Source organism: Homo sapiens, chromosome 20 (assembly GCF_000001405.40).
Source record: "Homo sapiens chromosome 20, GRCh38.p14 Primary Assembly".
NCBI classification, from domain to species: domain Eukaryota; kingdom Metazoa; phylum Chordata; class Mammalia; order Primates; family Hominidae; genus Homo; species Homo sapiens.
The window spans coordinates 45,394,488-45,417,479 of NC_000020.11; the positions used below are offsets into that span (position 1 = coordinate 45,394,488).

Genomic DNA, 22,992 nt, shown 5'->3' on the forward strand with positions numbered 1-22,992 from the left:
TAAAGCTGTTCTCTGCCTTGCTCACCTTCCAGTTGTCTGTGTAACCTCATTCTTCACGGATGCTGGTCAAGAACTCAGGACCTGCCAAATGCGGGAGTAAAAGGAGCTGTAACACTTTCCTGGCCGGCTCGCTGAGGTGCAGGTGGGAGCTAAAGGGGCTGTAACACGTTCCTGGCTAGCTCGCTGAGGTGCAGGTGGTGACACGTTCCTGAACTGCTGGAGTGAAGAGTGGAGACCCTTCTGGAGGCCCAGACCTCGGGATTCTCCGAGCCAGAGCGGTAACACACTAGTTCTCCTGCCCTCTGCCAGCGCCAGGCTGCCACCCCATGCAACAGGAAGCAGTGGCGGGGCCAGGCCAGCCCAGGAGCCACAGGCCGGAGCAGGGTGGCAGGACTGAAAGAGCAGTAACACAAATGGGCTGAAACTCCACCCCCTGAAATACAGCACCCCCACCTCGCTGAGCGGCTGCCGGTGATGAGAAAGAGAGAAGAGCTGCAGCCCTTCTGGGGGCCCAGATCTCGGGGCTCCCTGAGGCAGGGCTGTGACATGCTGTAACACCCTCTTTGGGGCTCTGCAGTTCCTGGTGTCTCAGAGCTTTCAGGTGCCACTGCGTTCCCCTGGTCCAGACGCTGGTGCCTATAGCAGAGGTCGCTTGGGGTAGGTCTGGTCCAGCCAGAGCCTTGCATGGAGCTGGTGCCTGTGCCAGTGCCTGGAGCTGCTCACGTGGCTGCGGCAGCTTGTGTGCCTGGCTCTGTGTGGTGACTGGACCTCACGCTTGCTCACACACCCCCCCACCACTCCATGCCTGGCTTACCCTTGGTAGGCATGGGATCCGGGCTGCACTAGCCAAGCACAGCCTGCCAGGTGAGTGGGCAGAACGAGTGGGCACAAGCAAAACTCCAGCAGAGGCACCACCAGCCACAGAGGTTTTGCACTGACCAAGTGACACCCAAAGGATCCCGTGACATAACCTTGGTACAGTGTAGGAGAGGACTGCCCGGATGTACATGATAGGTGGTAAGGAACATTGGGAGGTGTTTTGTGGCTGACTGTGGCCACAAAAATTTCCATTTTATTCCATCCAATATGTTTTTCTTTTTTTCTTTTTCCTTTTTTTTGTTTTAGAGTCTCGCTCCGTTGCCCAGGCTGGAGTACAATGGCGTGATCTCGGCTCACTGCAAACTCCGCCTCCCAAGTTCAAGTGATTCTCCTGCATCAGCCTCCCAAGTAGCTGGGATTACAGATGCATGCTACCATGTCTGGCTGATTTTGGTATTTTTAGTAGAGACGGGGTTTCACCATGTTGGCCAGGCTGGTCTCGAACTTCTGACCTCAAGTGATCCACCCATCTCAGCCTCCCAAAGTGTTGGAATTACAGGCATGAGCCACTGCACCTGGCTGTTTCTTCTTCTTTCTTTTTTCTTCTTCTCTCTTCTTTTTTCTTCGTCTTCCTCCTCCTCTTCTTCTTTCTTCTTCTTCTTCTTCGACTGAGTCTCGCTCTATCACCCAGGCTGGAATGCAGTGGCATGATCTAGGCTCACTGCAACCTCCGCCTCCTGGATTCAAGTGATTCTTGTGCCTCAGCCTCCCAAGTAGCTGGGATTAGAGGCACCCACCACCACGCCCAGCTAATTTTTGTATTTTTAGTAGAGACGGGGTTTCACCATGTTGGCCAGGCTGGTCTTGAACTCCTGACCTCAAGTGATCCGCCCGCCTCGGCCTCCCAAAGTGCTGAGATTACAGGCGTGAGCCACCACACCCGGCCTATTTTATTATTTTTTTGAGATGGGGTTTCACTCTGTTACCTGGGCTACAGTGCCGTGGTGTGATCTCGGTTCACTGCAGCCTTGACCTCCCAGGCTCAAGCGATTTTCTTGCCTCAGCCTCATGAGTAGCTGGGACTACAGGCATGCACCACCATGCCTGGCTAATTTTTGTATATTTTGTAGAGATGAAGTTTCTGCCAATGTTGCCCAGGCTGGTCTCAAACTTGTGGGCTCAAGCGATCCTCCCAGCTAGTCTCCCAAAATGCTGAGACTACAGGCATAAGCTCCTGTGCCTGGTTCAACACTTTTTTTTTTTTTTTTTTTTTTTTTGAGACAGGGTCTTGCTCAGTTGCCCAGGCTGGAGTGCGGTGGTGGCATCTCAGCTCACTGCAACCTCCACTTCCCAGGATCAAGTTATCCTCCTACCTCAGGCCTCCAAATAGCTGGGAATACAGGCATGAGCCACCATGCCCAGCTAATTTTTATATTTTTTGTAGAGACGAGGTTTTGTCATGTTGCCCAGGCTGGTCTCAAATTCAAGGTCAAGCGATCCACCTGCCTCAGCCTCCCAAAGTGCTAGGATTACAGGCCTGAGCCAGTGTACCCAGCCATGTATTTTCTAATATCCCTTGGACTTCATCTTTGACTCATGTTTTATTTTGAAGTATTGGGATTGTTTTTCAGTTATCTTTCTGTTATTATTTCTATTTAATTCTGTTATGGTCATACAACATAATTTAAATTCTTCTAAATTTGTTGAGGATTGTTTTTGTTGCCCAGAATATGATGAATCTCTCATTGAATGTTGTATGTGCAGTTGAAAAGAATGTTTATTCTGCTGTTGGTGGGTAAAGTGTCATGAATATAATTAGGAGAAATTAATGATAGTGTTAAGGTTTTCTATATCCTTGCTTTTTTGGTGTACTTATTTTATTGATTATTGAGAGAGAAGGGTTGAATTATCTAGGTGCAATATAGATTTTTTCTGTTTCTTATTTCAGGTCTACTGGTTTTTACTTCATATATTTTTGAAGCTCTGTTGTTAGTATATACACTCTTATGACTGTTAAGTCTTCTTGGTGAATTGAACCTTTTATTATTAAATAATACCACTTTTCCTCCCTGGTAATAGTCCTTCTTAAATCTACTTTGTCTGATATTAATACTGTCACTCCAACTTGCTTGGTTTCATGTTTGTATGGTGTGTCTTACTCCATTCATTTTTTTTTTAGGGATCCAATTCCTCTACACATCCTTTTACTTTTAACCCATATATTTCTTTATATTTAAAGTGGGTCTTGTGGACAACATATTATTGCCTCTTACTTTGCTCCCAATCTGCTAATTTGTCTTTTAATTGATTGTCTTTTTACTGATACACTGGATTAAAATCTATCACCTTGTTATTTGTTTTCTAATCTTTCATCTGTGCTTTTTTTCTTTTTTCTTCCTTGATTTGGATTATGTTTCGAAAAGGAAAACTCCCAATCTCATGGGTGCTGCAAGTAGACAAGATGTATTGCATCTGATTGAAATAGTTTATTATTCATAGCACAACAAACAGTGTGAACATCAGCATAGTTGTATTGGTTCCCCTGGTCCTACATTCAACAGATGATGCAGTGAGCCCAGATGCATGGTATTCACACAGTGGGTTTGCATTGTAGCTGAGGGACCTAGGCCCAGCACTTTTTATTTTATTTTATTTTATTAATTAATTAATTTATTTGAGACAGGGTCTCACTGTGTTGCTTAGGCTGCTCTCGAATTCCTGGACTCAAGTGATCCTCCTGCCTCAGCCTCTCAAAGTGCTGGGATTACAAGCATGAGCCACCACGCCTGGTCCCAGGACATTTTTATAGCAAGCAGTAAGCAAGCCTGCCTTGGTCTGAGAAATGATCTCACCTCTCAAAACTCTAGCTGTACTAACAATCCTGAACAAGGACCCAGGTGAAAGAGAGGTCTGGGCCTTGTGATCTTGACATACTCAGCAAGACACGTTGGACACAAGTGGCCTAGGGAGGAAGCCTCCCAACATTAGAAAAAATTATTATATGTACTTGTTTTCATGTTCAACAGTCATTTTAAAAAATAAATTTTATTGTATATGTTTAAGGTATACAACATGATGTTATGGAATACATAGATATAGTAAAGTGATTACTATAGTGAAGCAAACGAACATATCCATCATCTCACATAGTTACCTATTCCAGCATTTTTATGATTCCATTTTCTATTATTGGCTTGTTACTTACACCTCTCTAAAAAAATTTTTTTAGTGGTTGCTATTGAATTTACTATATCTTTAATCAGTCTATCTTCAAATAATGTTATACCACTTCTTATATATCATAAGGACCCTTTAACAGCATATTTCCCATTCCTCCATCTCCTCATTTTTACTGTTGTTATTGTCATACATTTCACTTTTATATATGCTATGAGGCCACAATGCATTGCTTTAGTAAAGCAGTTACCTTTTAAAGTGAGTAAAAATGAGAAACAATGTCTCTTATATTTACCTTTATTCTATCTGTTTCCAGAGATCATCATTTCTTTATGTAGATCCAAGTTTCTCTCAGGTATCATATTTCTTCTGCTTACAGAACGTCCACTGGTAATGAATTTTCTCTCTCTCTTTTTTTTTTTTTGATCTGAAAAAGTGTATTTCCTTCATGTTTGAAAGATGTATTTGCTAGGTATAGAATTCTGGATTGGCAGTTTTTTGTCTTTCAGCATTTTAAAGATATGACTCTATTATCTTCTGGTTATATAATTTCTGATGAGAAGTCTTCTGTAATTCTTTGTTCCTCTGTAGGGAGTGTGCCTTTTTCCTCTAGATGCCTTCAATATTTTCTCTTTATCTTTGGTTTTCAGCAATTTGAATATGATATATTAGGTTGTGTTTGCATGTGCTTCTTTGTTGTGTTTGTATATTGGCATTTAATCTTTTCTGGATTCTGTGAGTTTCTTGGCTCTGTGGTTTGATATCTTTCATTATTTTTGGAAAATTATTAGCTATTATATCTACAAATAAATATTGTATCTACATATATATATTTTTTTTTCTCTGTTTCTTCTCCTTCTGGGATATGAATCACTTATATGTTAGCGCTTGGATATTTGTTCTGGTTTTTGTTTGTTTGTTTCACTCTTTTCTTTTTCTGTTTCAATTTGAGTATTCTCTATTGACCTATCTTCAAGTTCACTGGTTATTTCCTCAGCTATGTCGAGTTTACTGATTGATATAGTTTGGTTGTGTCACCACCCAAATCTCATCTTGAATTGTGGTTCCCATAATCCCCACGTGTCATGGGAGAGACCAGGTGGAGATAATTGAATCATGAGGGTGGTTCCCCCATCCTGTTCTCATGATAGTGAGTTAGTTCTCACAAGATCTGATGGTTTTATAAGGGGCTTCCTCCTTCCCCAGGCACTTCTCCTTGCTGCTGCCACATGAAGAAGGACGTGTTTGCTTCCCCTTCCACCATGATTGTAAGTTTCCTGAGGCCTCCTCAGCCCTTTGGAACAGTGAGTCAATTAAACCTCTTTTCTTTGTAAACTACCCAGTCTCAGGTATGTGCTTATAGCAGTGTGAGAACAGACTAATACAGTAAACTGGTATTGGTAGAATGAGGTGCAGCTATAAAGATACCTGATAATGTGGAAGCAGCTTTGGAACTGGGTAGCAGATAGAGGTTAGAACAGTTTGGAGGGCTCAGAAGAAGAAGGAAAATGTGGGAAAATGTGGAACTTCCTAAAGTCTTAGAGGGCTCAGAAGACAGGAAAATGTGAGAAGGTTTGGAACTTCCTAGAGACTGTTGAATGGCTTTGACCAAAATGCTAATAGTGATATGAACAATGAAATCTAGGATGAGGTGGTCTCAGATGGAAATGAGGAACTAGCTGGGAACTGGAGTAAACTTCACTTTTGCAATGCAAAGAGACTGGTGGCATTTTACCCCTGCCCTAGAGATCTGTAGAACTTTGAACTTGAGAGAGATGATTTAGGGTATCTGGCAGGAGAAATTTCTAAGTGGCATAGCATTCAAGAGGAAGCAGAGAATAAACTTTTGGAAAATTTGCAGCCTGATGATGTGATAGAAAAGAAAAACCCATTTTTTTCTGGGAGAAATTCAAGCCCCTTACAGAAATTTGCATAAGTAACAAGGAGACAAATATTAATCACCAAGACAATGGGGAAAATGTCTCCAGGGCATATCAGAGACCTACACAGCAGCCCCTCCCATCATAGGCCCAGAGGCCTAGGAGGGAAAAATGATTTCCTGGGCCAGGTCCAGTGCTCCCTTGCTGTATGCTGCCTCAGGACTTGGTGCCCTGCATCCCAGCCACTCAAGCCATGGCAAAAAGGGGCCAAGGACAGCTCGGGCTATTGCTTCAGAGGGTGCAAGCCCCAAGCCTTGGCAGCTTCCATGAGGTATTGGGCCAGCAGGTGTGCAGAATGCAAGAATTGAGGTTTGGGAACCTCCGCCTAGATTTCAGAGGTTGTATGGAAATGCGTGGATGTCCAGGCAGAAGTCTGCTGCAGGGGCGGAGCCCTCATGGAGAACCTCTGCTAGGGCAGTGCGGAAGGGAAATGTGGGGTCAGATCCTACACACAGAGTCCCCACTGGGGCATTGCTTATGGAGCTGTGAGAAGAGGGCCACTGTCCTCCAGACCCCCGAATGGTAGATCCACCAACAACTTGCACTGAGTGTCTGGAAAAGTTGCAGACACTCAATGGCAGCCATGAAAGCAGCAGGGAGGGGGTCTCTACCCTGCAAAGCCACAGGGGTGGAGCTGCCCAGGGCTGTGGGAGCCCACCTCTTGCATCAGTGTGACCTGGATATGAGACCTGGAATCAAAGGATATTATTTTGGAGCTTTCAGGTTTAATGACTGTCCTATTGGATTTCAGACTTGCATGGGGCCTGTAGCCCCTTTGTTTGGGCCAATTTACCCCTTCAATTTCTCCTATTTAGAATGAGGGTATTTACCCAATGCCTATAACCCCATTATATCTAGGAAGTAATTAACTTGCTTTTGATTTTACAGGCTCTTAGGTGGAAGGGACTTGCCTTGTCTCAGAAGAGTCTTTGGACTTGGACTTTTGGGTTAATACTGGAATGAGTTAAGACTTTGGAGGACTGTTGGAAGCACATAATTGTGTTTTGAATTGTGAGGACATGAGATTTGGGAGGGGCTGGGGCAAAATTATATGGTTTGACTGTGTCCCCACCCAAATCTCATCTTGAATTGTGGTTCCCATAATCCCCACATGTCATGGAAAGGACCAGGTGAAGACAGTTGAATCATGGGGGTGGTTTCCCCCATCCTTTTCTTGTGATAGTGAGTTACTTCTCATGAGATCTGATGGTTTTATAAGGGGCTTCCCCCTTCGCTGGGCACTTCTTGCTGCTGCCATGCGAAGAAGGACGTGTTTGCTTCCCCTTCTGCCATGATTGTAAGTTTCCTAAGGCCTCCCCAGCCCTGTGGAACTGTGAGTTAATTAAACATCTCTCATTTATAAATTACCCAGTCTCAGGTGTGTCTTTGTAGTAGCGTGAGAAAGGACTAGTATACTGATAAGCCTGTCAACAGCATTCTTCAAATCTGTTATATGTATGTGTTTTTTCTTATTTCTAGCATTTCTCTATGTCTCTTTTTTTGTAGTCTTCATATTTCTGCAAAAATTCCCCTTTTGTTCTTTCATATTGTCTACATTTTCCACAAGAGCCTTTCATATTCACGTATTACTTATAGTTGTCTTAAGTTCTGTGTCAGATAATTACAGCATCTGCATCTTGCACCTGGTCTTGCTTTCTCTCTCTCTCTCTTTCTCTTTCTCTCTTTCTCTCTTTAATATAGAAACAGGGCCTTACGATATTGCCCAGACTGGTCTTCAGACTCCTGGCCTCAAGCATTCCATCTGCCTTGGCATTCCAAAGTGCTGGATTATAGGTATAAGCCACCACACCTGGACTGCTTTGTCTCTTGACAGTAGGTTTTTTTGGTATTTTAAAAGTTGTGTGTGTGTGTGTGCGTTGTAATTTTTGTTTGTTTGTTTTTGAGATAGAGTTTCACTTTTGCCAACCAGACTGGAGTGCAATGGTGCGATCTTGGCTCACTGCAACCTCTGCTTCCCAGGTTCAAGCGATTCTCCTGCCTGAGCCTCCCAAATAGCTGGGATTGCAGGCACCCACCACCATGCCCAGCTAATTTTTGTATTTTCAGTAAAGATGGGATTTCACTGTGTTGGCCAGGCTGGTCTTGAACTCCTGACATCAGGTGATCCATCCACCTTGGCCTCCCAAAGTGTTGAGATTAGAGGCGTGAGCCACTGCACCCAGCCTGTGTTGTAATTTTTTATTGAATTTTGGACACAGTGCTTATAATAGTAAGGACTGAGTTCATTATTATTTATGCCTGGAAATTGTCGTATCTCTTCTTCTCTTAGGCCATTAGTGTGGGGGATTCAGTCAGTTTTTTCAGGAGTTGAATTAGGTTTGAGTTTTGTTGTTTCTATGATTACTTCAGTGTCTATATCTCCTACAAATTTTATGTAGTCATGCTAGCTATATTGGGTCTTTAGTAATTCCATAAAAATTTTGGCCTGGCATGTTGGCTTACACCCATAATCCCAGCACTTTGAGAGGCTGGAGCAGGAGGATCACTTGAGGCCAGGAGTTTGAGACCAGCTTAGACAACATAGCAAGACCCTATCTCTAACAAAAAATAATAATAATAATAAAATAAAATTAGCCATGTGTGGTGATGTGCATTTGTAGTCCTAGATACTTGGGAGACTGAAGTGGGAGGATACCTTGAGCTTAGTGAGTCATGACTGCACTACTGTGCTTCAGCCTCTGGACAGTGTGAGACCTTGTCTCTGAAAAATAAAAACATAAACATTAGCTGAACTCTTCTAACCTACTTGTAAGGAGAGCTTGTCTTTCTCTTGCTACACAACTGAGTGAGTGCCTGCATCCCGTCACTTCCTGGAGGCTCCTGTCCTTCTTTGGAATGCTGGTTAATTGGTTGCTCTGCAACCTTAGGTCTCTGATAAGTTTGACAAAAGTTGTGATTTTGTAAATTACCCAACAATTTTTAAAAACTGTTATTAGTTTGATAATGATGCTCTTCCCAGGTTTCTGCATCCTAGATGGAAGCCGGAGTCTCAAGCCGTCTACCTTTTCACGGTGCTATTCAACGTTTTGGCCACCTACTCCTGGCCTGCTGCTTGGGTCTTTCTTTTGGGTGACACCCTTCCAGTTTAGCCCCCTGAAATATTTTCAGGTTAGATGTTTCCCCCTCTCCATTCCTTCTTTATGGCAAATATCTGACAAAGAGAAGGGACAGAGGTTCCTGATCTTTCTTCATCTTGGGCTCAAAATAATCCATGGAGTCGTGTTCTGAAGGATACATCTGGGCCAGGCGCAGTGGCTCACGCCTATAATCCCAGCACTTTGGGAGGCTGAGGTGGGCAGATCACTTGAGGCCAGGAGTTCAAGACCAGCCTGGCCAACAGGGCAAAAACCCCCCTCTACCAAAAATAGAAAAATTAGCCAGGCATAGTGGAGTGCACCTGTAATTCCAGCTACTCAGGAGGCTGAGGTGGGAGAATTGCTTGAATCCAGGAGGTGGAGGTTGCAGTGAGCTGAGATGGTGCCACTGCACTCCAGCCTGGGCAACAGAGCAAGACTCTGTCAAAAAAAAAAAGGGATACATCTCTGAAAATGGGGACATGACTGGGAGTGAGCTAAGCTCTTATCCACTGTACTCCTGACTTGGCCCTCATTTTCTGTGCTAGAAAATTAGATGAAGTATCTACTCTATCCATTAATGAGAAATAAGAATCAAACCAACCCAATGAAATAGTTCTTAGAAGATGAAAACTACAACAGGATAAAAGGGGAACAGGCACAGGATAAAAGGGTTGTAAGCACAGTCTCTAGAGGCAGTCTACCTGGGCTTAAATTCCAGGTCCATCACTTACTAGCTGTAGGGCCTGGGACAAGTTCCTTCACCTCTCTGTATCTCAACTTCTGTATCTGTAAAGTGGAAACAGCAAGAGGATTAAAAGGGTTAATTTTTGTAAAGCACTTATAATAGTGACTGGCACATAATAAGCTCTGTGGAAGTGTTAACAATTAGGGCTTACTTCCTATAATTTCAGAAATTTGTGGAAGACAGCAGTTCCCTCCCTTTCTCAGAACCCATTACCATCAAAACAGCTAACGATTACTGAGCATTTCCAAAGTGCCCAAGTCCTGTAACTAACCATTTTATATAAATTATCTTATAAGAGGGAGGGATTAATTATTCCTCTTTAGTAGGTAAGAGATCAAGGATCAGAGAAGTGTTTACCCAGCTGGCTAGAGGAATCAATAGGTTTACAACCCAAGAGGGTCTGACTGTATTGCCTGTGCTCTTAACCATTGCATTTGTTGCCTCCCACAAACTAGTTTCCATGCTTGTAAACTAGTGGGAAAATTGCATGCTGTATTTATCTCACAGGGTTGTTTTGAGATCCCAATAATGTTAAGAGGCAGTGCTTTAGTGTACAGAGTGCTGGTCCCCTGACAGGGAAACCTGAATGTGTCAATGATTTGTTCACACTTCCCTCCCTCTGCACATGCCCTTCTCCCTCTTTTCTGCTTGTTGAACTCATGTCTTCAAGACTTAGCTCAGATATCAGCGTCCAGATTTTATTCTAACAGTGGAGGAATTTAGGCAACGCCGCGTGGCGGGGGGGTCGAGGGGGGCACACCAGACTTGTGTTCTGAAATGACAGCTGACTTGTAATGCAGGGAATGGAGTGTAGCCGGGCCAGAATGAGTACAAGAAAACCAGATAGGGCCGGGCGCGGTGGCTCACGCCTGTAATCCCAGCACTTTGGGAGGCCGAGGCGGGTGGATCACGAGGTCAGGAGATCGAGACCATCCTGGCTAACAAGGTGAAACCCCGTCTCTACTAAAAATACAAAAAATTAGCCGGGTGCGGTGGCGGGCGCCTGTAGTCCCAGCTACTCGGGAGGCTGAGGCAGGAGAATGGCGTGAACCCAGGAAGCGGAGCTTGCAGTGAGCCGAGATTGCGCCATTGCAGTCCGCAGTCCGGCCTGGGCAACAGAGCGAGACTCCGTCTCAAAAAAAAAAAAAAAAAGAAAAGAAAACCAGATAGAAGGTTACTGCATTAGGAGCCCAGGCGGGAGGTGGTGGGGCAAACGGAAGGAATGGTGGACTGGAAAGATATTTAGGAAAGAGAATCGACAGGAAATGGAGGTGTATTTTAATATAGGCAGCGAGGGAGAGGGAGGTGGCAAGGATGACTCCTAGTTCCTGACTTGCTCGCGGATGTTTGTCGAATGAATGATCCAGTGACCCCAAGGCAGAAGTATCTCAGAGAGATCCCCCCACTCCCCTCCCCGCACCCGTCACCACGCTGCCTTCGGAGCTCTGACCGTAAGGGGGTGGATGGAAGGCAGGAGGAAGGGAATGGCCACGGAGTCTTGGTCCAGGAGCTGCTAGACTGGACACTTCTAGCACTGGTCTGAGCCAGGAGACGCTGCGAAAAGAGGGCAAACGTTTCTCCTCTCGCAGTTGCCGCCTCGCCCCTCCACCCCCGCCTGGCCAGCAGCGCAGCGCCCCTCTTAGCACCGTGGAGGTGCTGGCTCCTTGCCGGCGTCGGGGGGCGCGGCGTAGCGGCCCACCCTTCCAGCTCTGACCCGCCCGGCCGGCCCGGCGCCCACCCCGCCCAGTGTGCTTGGTAGGTTGGGCGGCGGCTCTGTCTAGTCCCAGAGCCAGGAATCAGGGGCAGCCGGGCGAGTCCCAGGGCAGGGGTCCTCCGCCGCCTTGCACCTGCCCTGCTGGGCGGCACCGGGTCAGTGCCCTGCCCCCTCCTGCGGGTCCCAACTCTCTCTTTCCCATCGTGCGTCCTCTGGAGAAGTGCGCGCGTGTAAGTGTGGCGAGTGTGGCCAAGGGTGCCGGAGGCAGGGTTCGGGTGCGTAGTCGTTGCGTGGGCGCTGCCCAAAAGGCGCAGAGCATCAAGTGTGCGTGGGCAGAACCGGCGCGGGCGCCCGCCGCGGGTCTGCGCGGGGCGGGGGCGCAGCAAGTGCATCCGAGCGAGCGGAGACTAGCGCACCGGCGTCGGTGGCGAGGGTGGTGCAGAGGAGTCCGGCTGGGCGGAGGGAGGAAGGATGGGTGCGGGTAACTTTTTGACCGCCTTGGAAGTACCAGTAGCCGCGCTCGCAGGGGCTGCCTCCGACCGCCGGGCGAGCTGCGAGCGAGTGAGCCCGCCACCGCCCCTCCCCCACTTCCGCCTCCCGCCTCTTCCTCGTTCCCGGCTCCCAGGGCCCGTCGGTCCCCCGGGAGCCCTGGAGGCGCAGCCCCACCCCGGCCGGCGCGGCTCGCTCCCACGCCCCCGCCGCGGCCTCGCTGGAGCGGACGGACTGAGTCAGAGGGGGCGCCAGCGCTGCAGGTAGGGGCTCCGGCGGCGGTGGGCGCAGGTGCCGCGGTGGACCGCGGAGGGGACCGGAGCACGAGGGGAACGGCCTTGGGGGAGCGCCCTCCCCCCGTCCTCCGCCGACGCCTCGTGTCCCTTTTTAGGGAATTTTTTCCCTCTTGCTGGCTCCAGTGCGGGTGGGGCTGAGACCGAGAGGGAGTTCTCCATTTCGCTGGCTCCTGCCCGGCCCCTGGCAGCCTCCTGCCCCCAAATCTCTTCACCCCCTTTCCAGTACCTATAGGTCGCGTAAACAACTCCCTTTCTCCAGCTCTGGGCTCCGCGGCCCCCCGGGGGACAGCTCCTTCAGTCTCGTGAGATCGGTGGGGTTAGGGGGAGGGGAAAAGAGAGGGGGTGTCCCAGAGCCCCTGGCCCCCGTCAGCTCCCCCACCTTGGCCTCTCCCTCCCCCTCCTCGCTGCTGGAGCACAGGCTCCAGGGGCCCTGGGTATTTTTAGCGTTGTGACCTGGGCGGCAGCTCTAAGAGCCTTTCCCGGGAATCGGCGTCAGCGCCTCGCTCCTCCGCCGCCAGCCCGCGGCCGCACGGTCTCCCCAGACTTCCGTGGCCCTGCCTTGGCCAGTCGGGGTTGGGTCCCTCTCCACCTCTGTGGCGCCCGTGGAGCTGGCCAGGGTCTGGGATACGCTGGGTGCAGATGAGGTGGGGAAGGCAGTCTGCGGAGGATGACGTCTGATCCTCAAGCTAGAAACTCCCTTGCCTCTGGTGATGGGCTCAGAGCAGAACGCCGGGAAGGAGATGAGCGAATGGGAATGAATGCACCGACCTGGGCTGGCCCATAGCCTCAGTGCTCTGGCAGGGTCTCAGCTTCTCAGCCCTAGGGGTCAGGAGGCCTGCTCTGAACTGGACCCAGAACCCGCCTTTCCAATTGCTCCTCACTGACTAATGGGGAGATAAGTCAGTGAGATGTGTCCCAGGAGGGGGACGCATAAAGAGCTGTTGGAGTTCAAAGGAAAGATGGTAGTCTCCTAAATAGCTCACCTTCACAAGCAGGGTCTTGTATTTGAGGCAGGTAGGTTGGTTATGCCATTTTCAGATGGGGAGACTAAGACCAGAAAGGTGATTTCCTTAGGGGCAGAGCCTAGTCTGGAAGTCAGGCCTGTGACTTCAGAGCAAGGGTTTGGGGTAGATGGCACATGCGTGTGTACGTGTTTGTGTGGGTGGAGAGAAAAGGAGGGGCGCGGGAGGAGTTGCTTTAGCCTTTGTCTGGGTTTTGAAGGATGGGAAGGGGTGGGCTGCAGCACTGGAGGAAGGGAACCCTCCACCCTGAGATCTCTGTCTCTATCCTATCCTGTCCCTGGCCTTCTGAGGCAAGCGGGGCCAATTAAGGGGAAAACGTACCTCCTCCATTTGTGCTGAACCAATCCCTCCAACCCCTCTCAGGAGGGCATGATATGGAGAGTTGGGCATTGGCTGTGTTCCCTGAATACAGAGTATCTCTCTTGTGGTGCCTGGAACTGGCATCCCCTTTGTGGAGCTTAGGGCAAGCCCCGCCTCTGCATGAGACTTGGTTTGTGGGACACACTTGGTTTCAGGGAAGGGGAAAGAGGTCACCAAGGGCAGAGGTGTCCAGGCCGGAGCCAGGGGCCCCACTGTTGGGATGCTGGCTGCAGTGGGGCGCCCCAAGCCCAGGTCCCCTCTGTCTTCTCTTTCGACTTTGCAGCTGTACTTGTTTTGCTCCTCTACCCGCAGGAGCTGACATGGACCCAAATCCTCGGGCCGCCCTGGAGCGCCAGCAGCTCCGCCTTCGGGAGCGGCAAAAATTCTTCGAGGACATTTTACAGCCAGAGACAGAGTTTGTCTTTCCTCTGTCCCATCTGCATCTCGAGTCGCAGAGACGTAAGTCCCAAGTCCTGAGAAGAGGGACTGGGGTAGGGTAGGGAGGATGTCCTGTGGGTCCTGAATCTTGTGGCACTCTCTCCCCTCTGGTTTTCTTGGCCCTCTATGCTTCTAACTTGGGACCTGACATGTAACTCTCACTGTCCTGGTGTGCAGCTTGGGTCCTCCTGACTTGCCCACTTCTTGATCCGCAGCCCCCATAGGTAGTATCTCATCCATGGAAGTGAATGTGGACACACTGGAGCAAGTAGAACTTATTGACCTTGGGGACCCGGATGCAGCAGATGTGTTCTTGCCTTGCGAAGATCCTCCACCAACCCCCCAGTCGTCTGGTATGCCCCTCTGCTTTGGGGACTTCAGTGCCAGTCAGCCAGAGCCGGATGTCAGGCTCTGAAACGAGGCTACAAGGCTGGGCTGGGGAAGTACACAAGTAAGGGCTGGAAGTGGGTGTTTCTACCAATGAAACAGCTGCCTGTTCTGATTTTAGGGAAGTTGACCCTGAGGGAGAACTGGGTTACACATCTCTAATCCAAAATTCTGGGAACGGTCAATCTCTTCTTTAATTTTACATTTGTTATATTAATATAATTAGTCACTATAATTAAAATAATGTAAAATTGTAATTTTTATATTTGGCAACTTAAGTAGTTTTAGTCATTATAATGATATTAATATGTATTGAGTACTTTAGTAGGTTCCAATACTGTACTAAAGTACTTTACATATATTATCTCAATCCTTACAACGTCCTGTCAGGGTAGGTGATATAATCTCTATTTTATAAGCAGGAAATTAGGCTCAGAGAAGTTAAGTCACATTGTAGCCAGAAGGTAGATAAACTGGAATTCATGTCTGTCTGACTCCAAAGCCCATATGCTTAACTTGTAAGATAGATATTCTTTTAATTAAAACTGCTACTATTTATTGATGGCTTACTATGCCAGACATTTTATAAGCATTCTTAGGTTTTATTCCCAAAACCCTTTGGGGATGTAGGTATCCCTTTTATTTTGCAGAGGAGGAACAGAGTCCTTGAAAGGGAAAGTGACTTGCTCAAAGCCACTCAGCAGCAATAAGTGATGTAGGTGGAACTTGAACTCTTGCCATTCATTGACCTGACTGTAGATCCCAGACATGGTGTAATGACGTGGAAGGAGCTGGCAGTCAGGAGATGGTGATCTTAATCCTGGCTCTTTGCTGGATTGGCAAAGTCACTTTGGACAAGTCTCTGCCCCACTGTGGACTTTAGTTACTCCTGGCCAGATAATCTTTAAGAGTTCTCTGAAGCCCTGTTTGTGGCCTGACCAGCTTTTCTCTCTGGGCAGGGATGGACAACCATTTGGAGGAGCTGAGCCTGCCGGTGCCTACATCAGACAGGACCACATCTAGGACCTCCTCCTCCTCCTCCTCCGACTCCTCCACCAACCTGCATAGCCCAAATCCAAGTGATGATGGAGCAGATACGCCCTTGGCACAGTCGGATGAAGAGGAGGAAAGGGGTGATGGAGGGGCAGAGCCTGGAGCCTGCAGCTAGCAGTGGGCCCCTGCCTACAGACTGACCACGCTGGCTATTCTCCACATGAGACCACAGGCCCAGCCAGAGCCTGTCGGGAGAAGACCAGACTCTTTACTTGCAGTAGGCACCAGAGGTGGGAAGGATGGTGGGATTGTGTACCTTTCTAAGAATTAACCCTCTCCTGCTTTACTGCTAATTTTTTCCTGCTGCAACCCTCCCACCAGTTTTTGGCTTACTCCTGAGATATGATTTGCAAATGAGGAGAGAGAAGATGAGGTTGGACAAGATGCCACTGCTTTTCTTAGCACTCTTCCCTCCCCTAAACCATCCCGTAGTCTTCTAATACAGTCTCTCAGACAAGTGTCTCTAGATGGATGTGAACTCCTTAACTCATCAAGTAAGGTGGTACTCAAGCCATGCTGCCTCCTTACATCCTTTTTGGAACAGAGCACGGTATAAATAATAAACTAATAATAATATGCCAACCATTCGACTTCATTTTTCATATTGCAAAGATATCAAACCCACTACATGTCTTTAGCTCTCTAACCGATCCCATATTCCTATCACTCACTCATTCCATTTATTCAAGAAATGTTTATGGAACACCCATGCTAGGCATCTGGAATACAGTTTTGAGCAAGACAGGCTGTACTGTATACCTGCCTTCATAGAGTTTACTGTTTATGGAGGAGAAAATCAAGTAAATACTACAATTCACAGTGTAATAAATAGCATGATGAGGAACTACTCTGGTACCAGAAAATAGGGGCATGTTAACCTAGTTTCTATGGTCACTGAAGAGCTGTTTTTAGCTGAAGGACGATTGGGAGTTAGCCAGGCACAGTCCGTAAGCCAGGCAGAACGAGCAGCTCGTGAAGACTTTAAACGGAGAGAGCATATCCTTGAGGAGCTAAAAAACATTGCGTTTGGCTGAATTGTTGGATTTGAGGAAATGAAGGGAGAGTTAAGACTGACAAAGGTCAGGTTGTAAAATCCGTTGAAGCCTGGATCAGGTTTCAGTTTGACAGCTAGTAAAAGATCATGACTTAAGATATAAAGTTATTTCCTCATATAGAAGTTAAAAAGTACAGGTCTACATGAAAGCTCCATCGTTACTCAGCACTGGGCTCCTTTTTTGCTCTTTTGCACATGGTTTGCATTCTTAGCAATATCTCACATCTAAGGTGGCTGTCAAAGCCCCAGCCATCATGACCTTGAGACTGGCAGAAAGCAGGAGAGGAAATGGGGGATGGGCAAAGAGGGCACAGCCAGTCTATTCCCATTTAGGAAGAAATTTTTGGAAGTTCTTTTTTTTTCCCCCAAGATGAAGTCACACTCTTTCGCCCAGGCTGGAGTGCAATGGCACGATCTCGGCACACTGCAACCTCCGCCTCCCAGGTTCAAGCAATTCTCACATCTCAGCCTCCCGAGTAGCTGGGACTACAGGCGCACACCACCATGCCAGGCTAATTTTTGTATTTTTAGTAGAGACGGGATTTCACCATATTGGTCAAGCTAGTCTCGAACTCCTGACCTCAGGTGATCCACCCACCTTGGCCTCCCGAAGTGCTGGAATTACAGGCGTGAGCCACTGCACCTGGCCAACCATCCTATAGTCTTCCAGCAGAGTCTCTCAAATCAGTGTCTCCAGATAGACGTGAACTCCTTGGCATGTCAAGTGAGGGGGTACTCCAGCCATTCTGGCTCCTTACATCCTTTTTGGAACAGAGGGCTAGTCACCCAGATGGGGAGTTTCAGAAAGGACCAGGTTTGAGAAGAAGGCCATAAATTTGGTTTGGGACATGTTGAGTTTGAGATGTCTTTGAGACATCCAAGAGGATATGTTGAGTAGGCCCTTGCACCCATGCATGTGGAATTTAGATAAGAGGATTGAGCTGGAAAAAGAAAACGATCAGTTCTCAGTGTATAGGTGGTAAGTGAAGCCATGGGTGCGAATGACAGGAGAGAATGCCCAGGGAGAGAATGCTGAATGAAAGAAGAGGTTATAGGACCCAGTCTTAAGGAACATCAACTCATTTCTCACATTCAAAAAAAAAAAAAAAAAATCAGTCCACCTCCCTTCATACATTGAACATCACCCATGGGATCAGTGACCTTCAGCCAAAATCCTAAAGCTTTTTGTGCCACCCAAGGTTGAGTGACAAGGCTGCAGTCTTCCTATTGTCCCATCCTGCTCTCACCCCTGCAGGAGGCCAGTGTAAGTATCTGTTCCTAAGTGTTTTTCCTAACACTAGTGAGAAACCTGTGGGAACTCCAGGGAAGTAGGAGTGTCCACCAGCCATTCCCTGTCTCTAGGAAGCTTGTGGAGTGAATACCTTCTGTGCAAAAGCCTCTAGGTCCAAGTTGAGATCATCCACTGAGCTGGGCCAGGGCCCAGTCCTCTATTAACTTTTGGGGTTTTTCTGGGTTGCTTATGACCTTGCTGCACATAGAAGACATAATCTCTGTCCTCTTGTGGCTTCTCTCCTTCCTTCCTTTAGAGTAGCAAGGTTCTATCTACCTCCTGTCTGACTGTGGCTGAGCCATCTCTTGGGCTGCGGCCCATGATCCCAATAGCTTTGCTGTGCAGGGCTTCTCAGCTCCCAGGATCACCCCCCTTCCTTCCATGGTGAACGATGAGAAGCTAGACTGGCTTGGTTGCCGTCAACATGTCAATAAATCTCTTAGTAGCCCAGGCACATGATGCGAAGATTGTGGGGAGCCTGCCTTGAGAGAGGGATTTACAGCCCTCTAGAGAAGTAGAATTGTTTCTGAGCCTATGGGGAGCCTTCAGTTTGGCTGCTATGAGCCCCAGCCCTGCCTGGAAAAGTCTAGTGTCAGCTGAGACCCCAGGACTACTTCCTAGTTGGGACAATAACCTTTTCTCCTGCCGAACCACAGGGGCTTGGCTGGCCTTCAGAACCATCATCTCCAGCTGACTGTTTTTTGTTTCTTTGTTTTTTTAAAAAAACTTATGGGGGTTTCAAACGTACAACAAATATAGAAAGAAAAATATCCCAGGTTCTCATCATACAGCTTAAAAAATCATCAAAATAGTACCAAGATTGTATCATCTACCCACCACATATTTTTAGTGGAAAGACATTTATGATAACTCTTGAAAGAAAGAGTAGACTATAAAACACCATATTCAATATGGTCACTTTTTAAAAAAATGATAATCTTCAGATTCACCATTTGATTATAGTGTTGCATTAAAGTTAAACCGTGGTTTATGGCAGCCCAGAGCCTAGCTGTCTGGTTTTTGAGGCCACACAGTGCCTTTGGAGGTGGGAGGAAGATCTGGAGCCAACTCTAAGTCAAGGAGCCCAGCTTTCAGTCTCCAAGCTACAGCGTGGCTTCTGATATTTGCACGGACTTGTCATAGGGTGGACATCCTGACACACTTCGGAAAGGAGGCACCACAGCTCAGAAAAAGTTTCCTTAGAAGGCTTACACTGTAGCAACCCCAGGAGTGCACAGAACTTGACACTGAACAGCATGGCAGAGTAGGGAAAATACAGAACTGTGCTATGATGTCATCTTGTTTGTTCATTCATTCACACATTACTGAGCACCTACTATGTGACAGTCACCTTGCTTAGGCAACAGAAATACTAAGGTGACCATGAGCTCTTCCAGGAGCAGACACAGACACAGGTAATGGAAACAATGTGATGAGAGATGTAGCAGAAGTACATGAAGCCTGTAGACCACTAGAGGAGGAGAAGGTAAGTCTTCACTAGAGGTGGCTGGGTCCTGAATGATGGAGATGGGCAATTTCAAAAGGAAAACAGAGAAGTACAAAATAGTCATAATGATGGCAGCTACCTTTAAAAAAGTATTATTTTGAGGTTTGATAGTGTAGACTATAGTCCTAGCTCCATCACTCATTGTAATCTTTATTATCTTAGTTTATGTACTTCTTAATAATAACACTCAAGCAACCCTATCACTTAGGCACTATTATCTACATTTACATATTAGTGCCTAGGTGACAGGGTTGAGTGTTACTATTAAGCACTTGCTACATTCCATATCCTACATGTACATAATTTCTCATCTTAACAACAACCTTGAAAGTAGGTTTCTTCATTATACAAATGAAGAAAAGTGACACTTGGGTTGATCATGCTCATATGGATTAAAGGCTGGCATAGGGATTTGGACTCCTGTCTTTCTGACATCTAAGCCCATGGCCTTCCTAATATTTCGTGTCTAATGGGGCAGGAACACTGAATGCAGGCAGAATGAAGGCATAATGAGATAAAGACATCTTTCTGACATTTCCTTTCTGGAAATGTCTGGTTGGTTGGCGCATATCTTGGCAGACCTGCCTGACACCAAATTGGCTCTTTCTAGAAGTGTGGTCATGAGTGTCACCAAGAGACTGTTCATGAAATCCTTCATGAATGTGTTTCCCATAGGGCAGGTGGAAAAACTAAAGCATGACTTTAACTTTGGAACTCCGAAAAAGTCAATAAAAAGACAAGCCAGTAAACAAAGGGGTGAGGGTGCAGAAGACTTTAACAGACCTTTCACAAAAAAATAAAAATTAAATTAAAAAATAAATGGCAAATAAGCACATGAACAGATGCTTAACATTTTTAGTTACCAGGGAAATGCAAATTAAAACCACAATGAGCAAACACTACATACATACCCAAGTGGTCAAAACTAAAAAGTACAAAAAATTAGAAACTTCAAATGCTGACCAGGATGTGGTACAATGGAGACTCATAGTTTATGGAAACATAAAATGATACATTTTGGAGAAAGGTCTGACAGTTTCTTATAAAATTAAACATACACCTGCTCTCTGACCCAGCAATTCCACTCTTAAATACCTGGCCAAAGGATATGAGAAATATACGTCTACAAAGGAGCTTGCACAGACAGCAGCCTTGTTAATAATAACCAAAAACTTTAAAAGTGCCCATCAAGAGTTGAATGGATAAATTAATAATACTACGCAGTAATAAAAAGAATTGTGGATACATGCAAGAACATGGATGATTCTCAAAAACATTCTTCCCATGAGAAAAAAAAAAGCCTTACACAGTATACATACTATATGATTTCATTTATATTTAGTTCTGGAACAGATTAATCTATTGTGGGAAAAAATCAGGGTACTAACTGCCTCTGGAAGGTGATAGAGGAGCAGGGATTGACTAGGAAAGGGTATTGCTAATTTTCTGGGGTTTTAGGAATGTTCTGTATCATGATAGGAGTTCGGGTTACATAGGTGTGTGCATTTGTCAAAACTCAGTGAATGTGTACTTTGGATTTGTGCATTTCACTGTATGTGAATTTTACATCAAAATGCAATCGAATACTGAACTCTAGTTAATTATATGCATGCTTAACTACTTAAAGGAAAGTGTACTAATGTCTGCAATTTACTTTGAAGTGCACCAAAACACAAGATGGAATGATGGATGTATAGACAAATATGTGGTAAAGTACAAGTATAGTATAATGTAAATAGTAGAATCTAGGTGGTGGAAAATAGGTTTATTGTAACAGGTGCTCATTCTTTCAATTTTGTTTGAACATTTTCGTAATAAAAGAACCACTTATTTGGGGGTTTTGCAGCAAATGGAGACACTAGAAGCTAAGAGGGGCAGGAGGTTCCTCTTACTTTGGGAAATGCAAATTAAAACCACAATGGTTTTCCCAAAAGTAATTGATCTTTTTCAGTCAATGTTTCCTCAACTATCAAATGGGTAAAATGGCAGTGAAGGAGCTTCATATTATTAAGCATTTCCTGGTGGGTGGAATACGCCATGAACTAGGTGCGGCCTCAAGCTGGTTACTCGCCCTGCCTACTCCCTCTCGTGTCCTCCCAGTACCCCCTTAGACCCACCAGCTCTGAGGGAATCTTCGCGACCTGCGCAGGCGGTCGCTCTGATAACCGCATCCCGGTTTCCGGGACGACAGCGGAAGTCACTTCTCACACGCCTTTCTTATTGGATACCGGCTTTTCATGGGGCCGAGCGCCGCTGGGTAGGCGGAAGTAGCCGCAGGCATGGCGGCGGCTATGCCGCTTGCTCTGCTCGTCCTGTTGCTCCTGGGGCCCGGCGGCTGGTGCCTTGCAGAACCCCCACGCGACAGCCTGCGGGAGGAACTTGTCATCACCCCGCTGCCTTCCGGGGACGTAGCCGCCACATTCCAGTTCCGCACGCGCTGGGATTCGGAGCTTCAGCGGGAAGGAGGTGAGGGCGCGAGATCTGACCAGGGAAAGATTTCCGTAGTGCCTGCTGGCTGGCCGGCCGTGGGATGAAGGCAAACTTTGGGGGCGGGGCCTAATTCCTGGGTAGAGTTCGGGATCCTGGGTGTGGACCCCGACGAGGTGGGGATCGTCACTCACCTGCTCCCGTTTCCCCAGTGTCCCATTACAGGCTCTTTCCCAAAGCCCTGGGGCAGCTGATCTCCAAGTATTCTCTACGGGAGCTGCACCTGTCATTCACACAAGGCTTTTGGAGGACCCGATACTGGGGGCCACCCTTCCTGCAGGCCCCATCAGGTGCAGAGCTGTGGGTCTGGTTCCAAGACACTGTCACTGAGTGAGTGCACACCTTGGGCCCTGTTGCAGGCCATGGAGGGAATGTGGCTGGGAGAGTGTTGTCATCCTGCCACTGCTCTTGGGGACAGCACTTCCAGTAGGCAGCGATTCCATGGGGGTAGAGCTGGCATTGGAAGTAAGAAATGTTACCACAGATGAATAAACTTCCCAATCCTAAAACTTTCAGACCTGAGGTAGCACATGCATATCCCTGGAGAGGCAAATAGCAAACAATTAATGCTTATTTGGAGGTAAGGCAGTAGAAAACTGGCAACTGGATAACCTTTTAAAAGGCATTCATTAATATTTTTTAAATGATAATAAATACCACGAAAGCCAACCATAACATATCTGTGGGTTACAACTGGCCAACAGGATGCTACATCACAGTGTTAGAGGAACTGCTTTTGTTTGGGAGGGGGCAGGTCTAGTTACTGTGCCTACTACAAACCGCTATTTCCCAGTGGCTGCTGTGGCTATCCTGTTTAGAATAGAACCTTTCTGTGCAGTGGTTGCAAACAGGTCTACATGGGCCACACAGGTAAGGAATGAATAAAGGTATTTTTAAAATTGACAAACACAGGAATGAGAAATATATCTCATTTTCCTCTTAATCCCACTATAAGAAATCAATAGTGCAAGTATGATATAACAAGTTTTAGGGCAATAAAAAGGAGCAGCAGGAATTGTGGCAGGCTAGAGAGTTTGTGTGACATTCTAACGAGGACAGCTCTGCCACTCAGCTTCTATGGATTGTTGCCATGTGGGAATAGAGGCCTAATGTGG

General features: G+C 46.8%; 2 protein-coding genes and 3 long non-coding RNA genes across 25 annotated transcripts in view, besides 1 other annotated feature; 3 read left to right on the forward strand and 2 right to left on the reverse strand.

The window, feature by feature from the left end:
• LOC107985404 (uncharacterized) lies at positions 1–13,402 on the reverse strand. 5 transcript variants are annotated; one of them, XR_007067608.1, is made up of 5 exons: positions 13,262–13,402; positions 11,627–11,945; positions 11,230–11,333; positions 4,292–9,820; positions 1–81 (listed from the first exon to the last, which is right to left on the reverse strand). It is a non-coding gene; the product is annotated as an uncharacterized LOC107985404 (long non-coding RNA). The 5 variants fall into 5 exon arrangements; XR_002958571.2 differs by lacking the exons at positions 1–81; positions 11,627–11,945 and having other exon boundaries at positions 3,286–4,423; positions 9,766–9,820; XR_007067607.1 differs by lacking the exons at positions 1–81; positions 11,627–11,945 and having other exon boundaries at positions 3,286–8,658; positions 9,766–9,820.
• The window catches only part of SYS1-DBNDD2 (SYS1-DBNDD2 readthrough (NMD candidate)), a 47,442-nt gene extending 31,319 nt beyond the window's left edge, over positions 1–16,123 (forward strand). The window contains exons 4-6 of the long non-coding RNA NR_003189.2: positions 13,973–14,119; positions 14,314–14,451; positions 15,445–16,123. This is a non-coding gene — a long non-coding RNA (SYS1-DBNDD2 readthrough (NMD candidate)). The remainder of the gene's footprint in view (positions 1–13,972; positions 14,120–14,313; positions 14,452–15,444) is intronic.
• DBNDD2 (dysbindin domain containing 2) lies at positions 11,506–16,123 on the forward strand. Of its 9 annotated transcripts, none has more exons than NM_001197139.2 (4): positions 11,506–11,534; positions 13,973–14,119; positions 14,314–14,451; positions 15,445–16,120. In NM_001197139.2, exons 2-4 carry the CDS (start codon positions 13,981–13,983, stop codon positions 15,651–15,653), a joined length of 486 nt encoding a protein of 161 aa, NP_001184068.1. In that variant the 5' UTR covers positions 11,506–11,534; positions 13,973–13,980; the 3' UTR covers positions 15,654–16,120. The 9 variants fall into 9 exon arrangements, with proteins under 9 accessions (NP_001184068.1, NP_001184069.1, NP_001041687.1 ...); NM_001197140.2 differs by lacking the exon at positions 11,506–11,534 and adding an exon at positions 11,565–11,768; NM_001048222.3 differs by lacking the exon at positions 11,506–11,534 and adding an exon at positions 11,565–11,723 and having other exon boundaries at positions 14,314–14,549.
• Positions 12,390–12,939: an enhancer, noted in NCBI's record as "H3K4me1 hESC enhancer chr20:44035517-44036066 (GRCh37/hg19 assembly coordinates)". NCBI's record gives its function as "activates a minimal SCP1, AML or CMV promoter by ChIP-STARR-seq in naive H9 embryonic stem cells {active_cell/tissue: H9 hESC(naive)}" and the evidence as "EXISTENCE:reporter gene assay evidence [ECO:0000049][PMID:30033119]".
• Positions 16,088–22,992, reverse strand: part of LOC107985405 (uncharacterized) — a 7,809-nt gene continuing 904 nt past the window's right edge. Inside the window, exon 2 of the long non-coding RNA XR_001754640.2 lies at positions 16,088–22,330. This is a non-coding gene — a long non-coding RNA (uncharacterized LOC107985405). The remainder of the gene's footprint in view (positions 22,331–22,992) is intronic.
• The window catches only part of PIGT (phosphatidylinositol glycan anchor biosynthesis class T), a 10,101-nt gene continuing 8,762 nt past the window's right edge, over positions 21,654–22,992 (forward strand). For 4 of the 9 annotated variants that reach the window (NR_047693.2, NR_047692.2, NM_015937.6 and 1 more), the window contains exons 1-2: positions 21,654–21,856; positions 22,030–22,207. Coding sequence is in view for 4 of the 9 variants with exons in the window: in NM_015937.6 (NP_057021.2) it covers positions 21,670–21,856; positions 22,030–22,207 (365 nt within the window). In the remaining 5 variants the exon portion in view is untranslated. The remainder of the gene's footprint in view (positions 21,857–22,029; positions 22,208–22,992) is intronic. The other 5 variants (NR_047694.2, NR_047695.2, NM_001184730.3 and 2 more) reach the window with 2 other exon arrangements.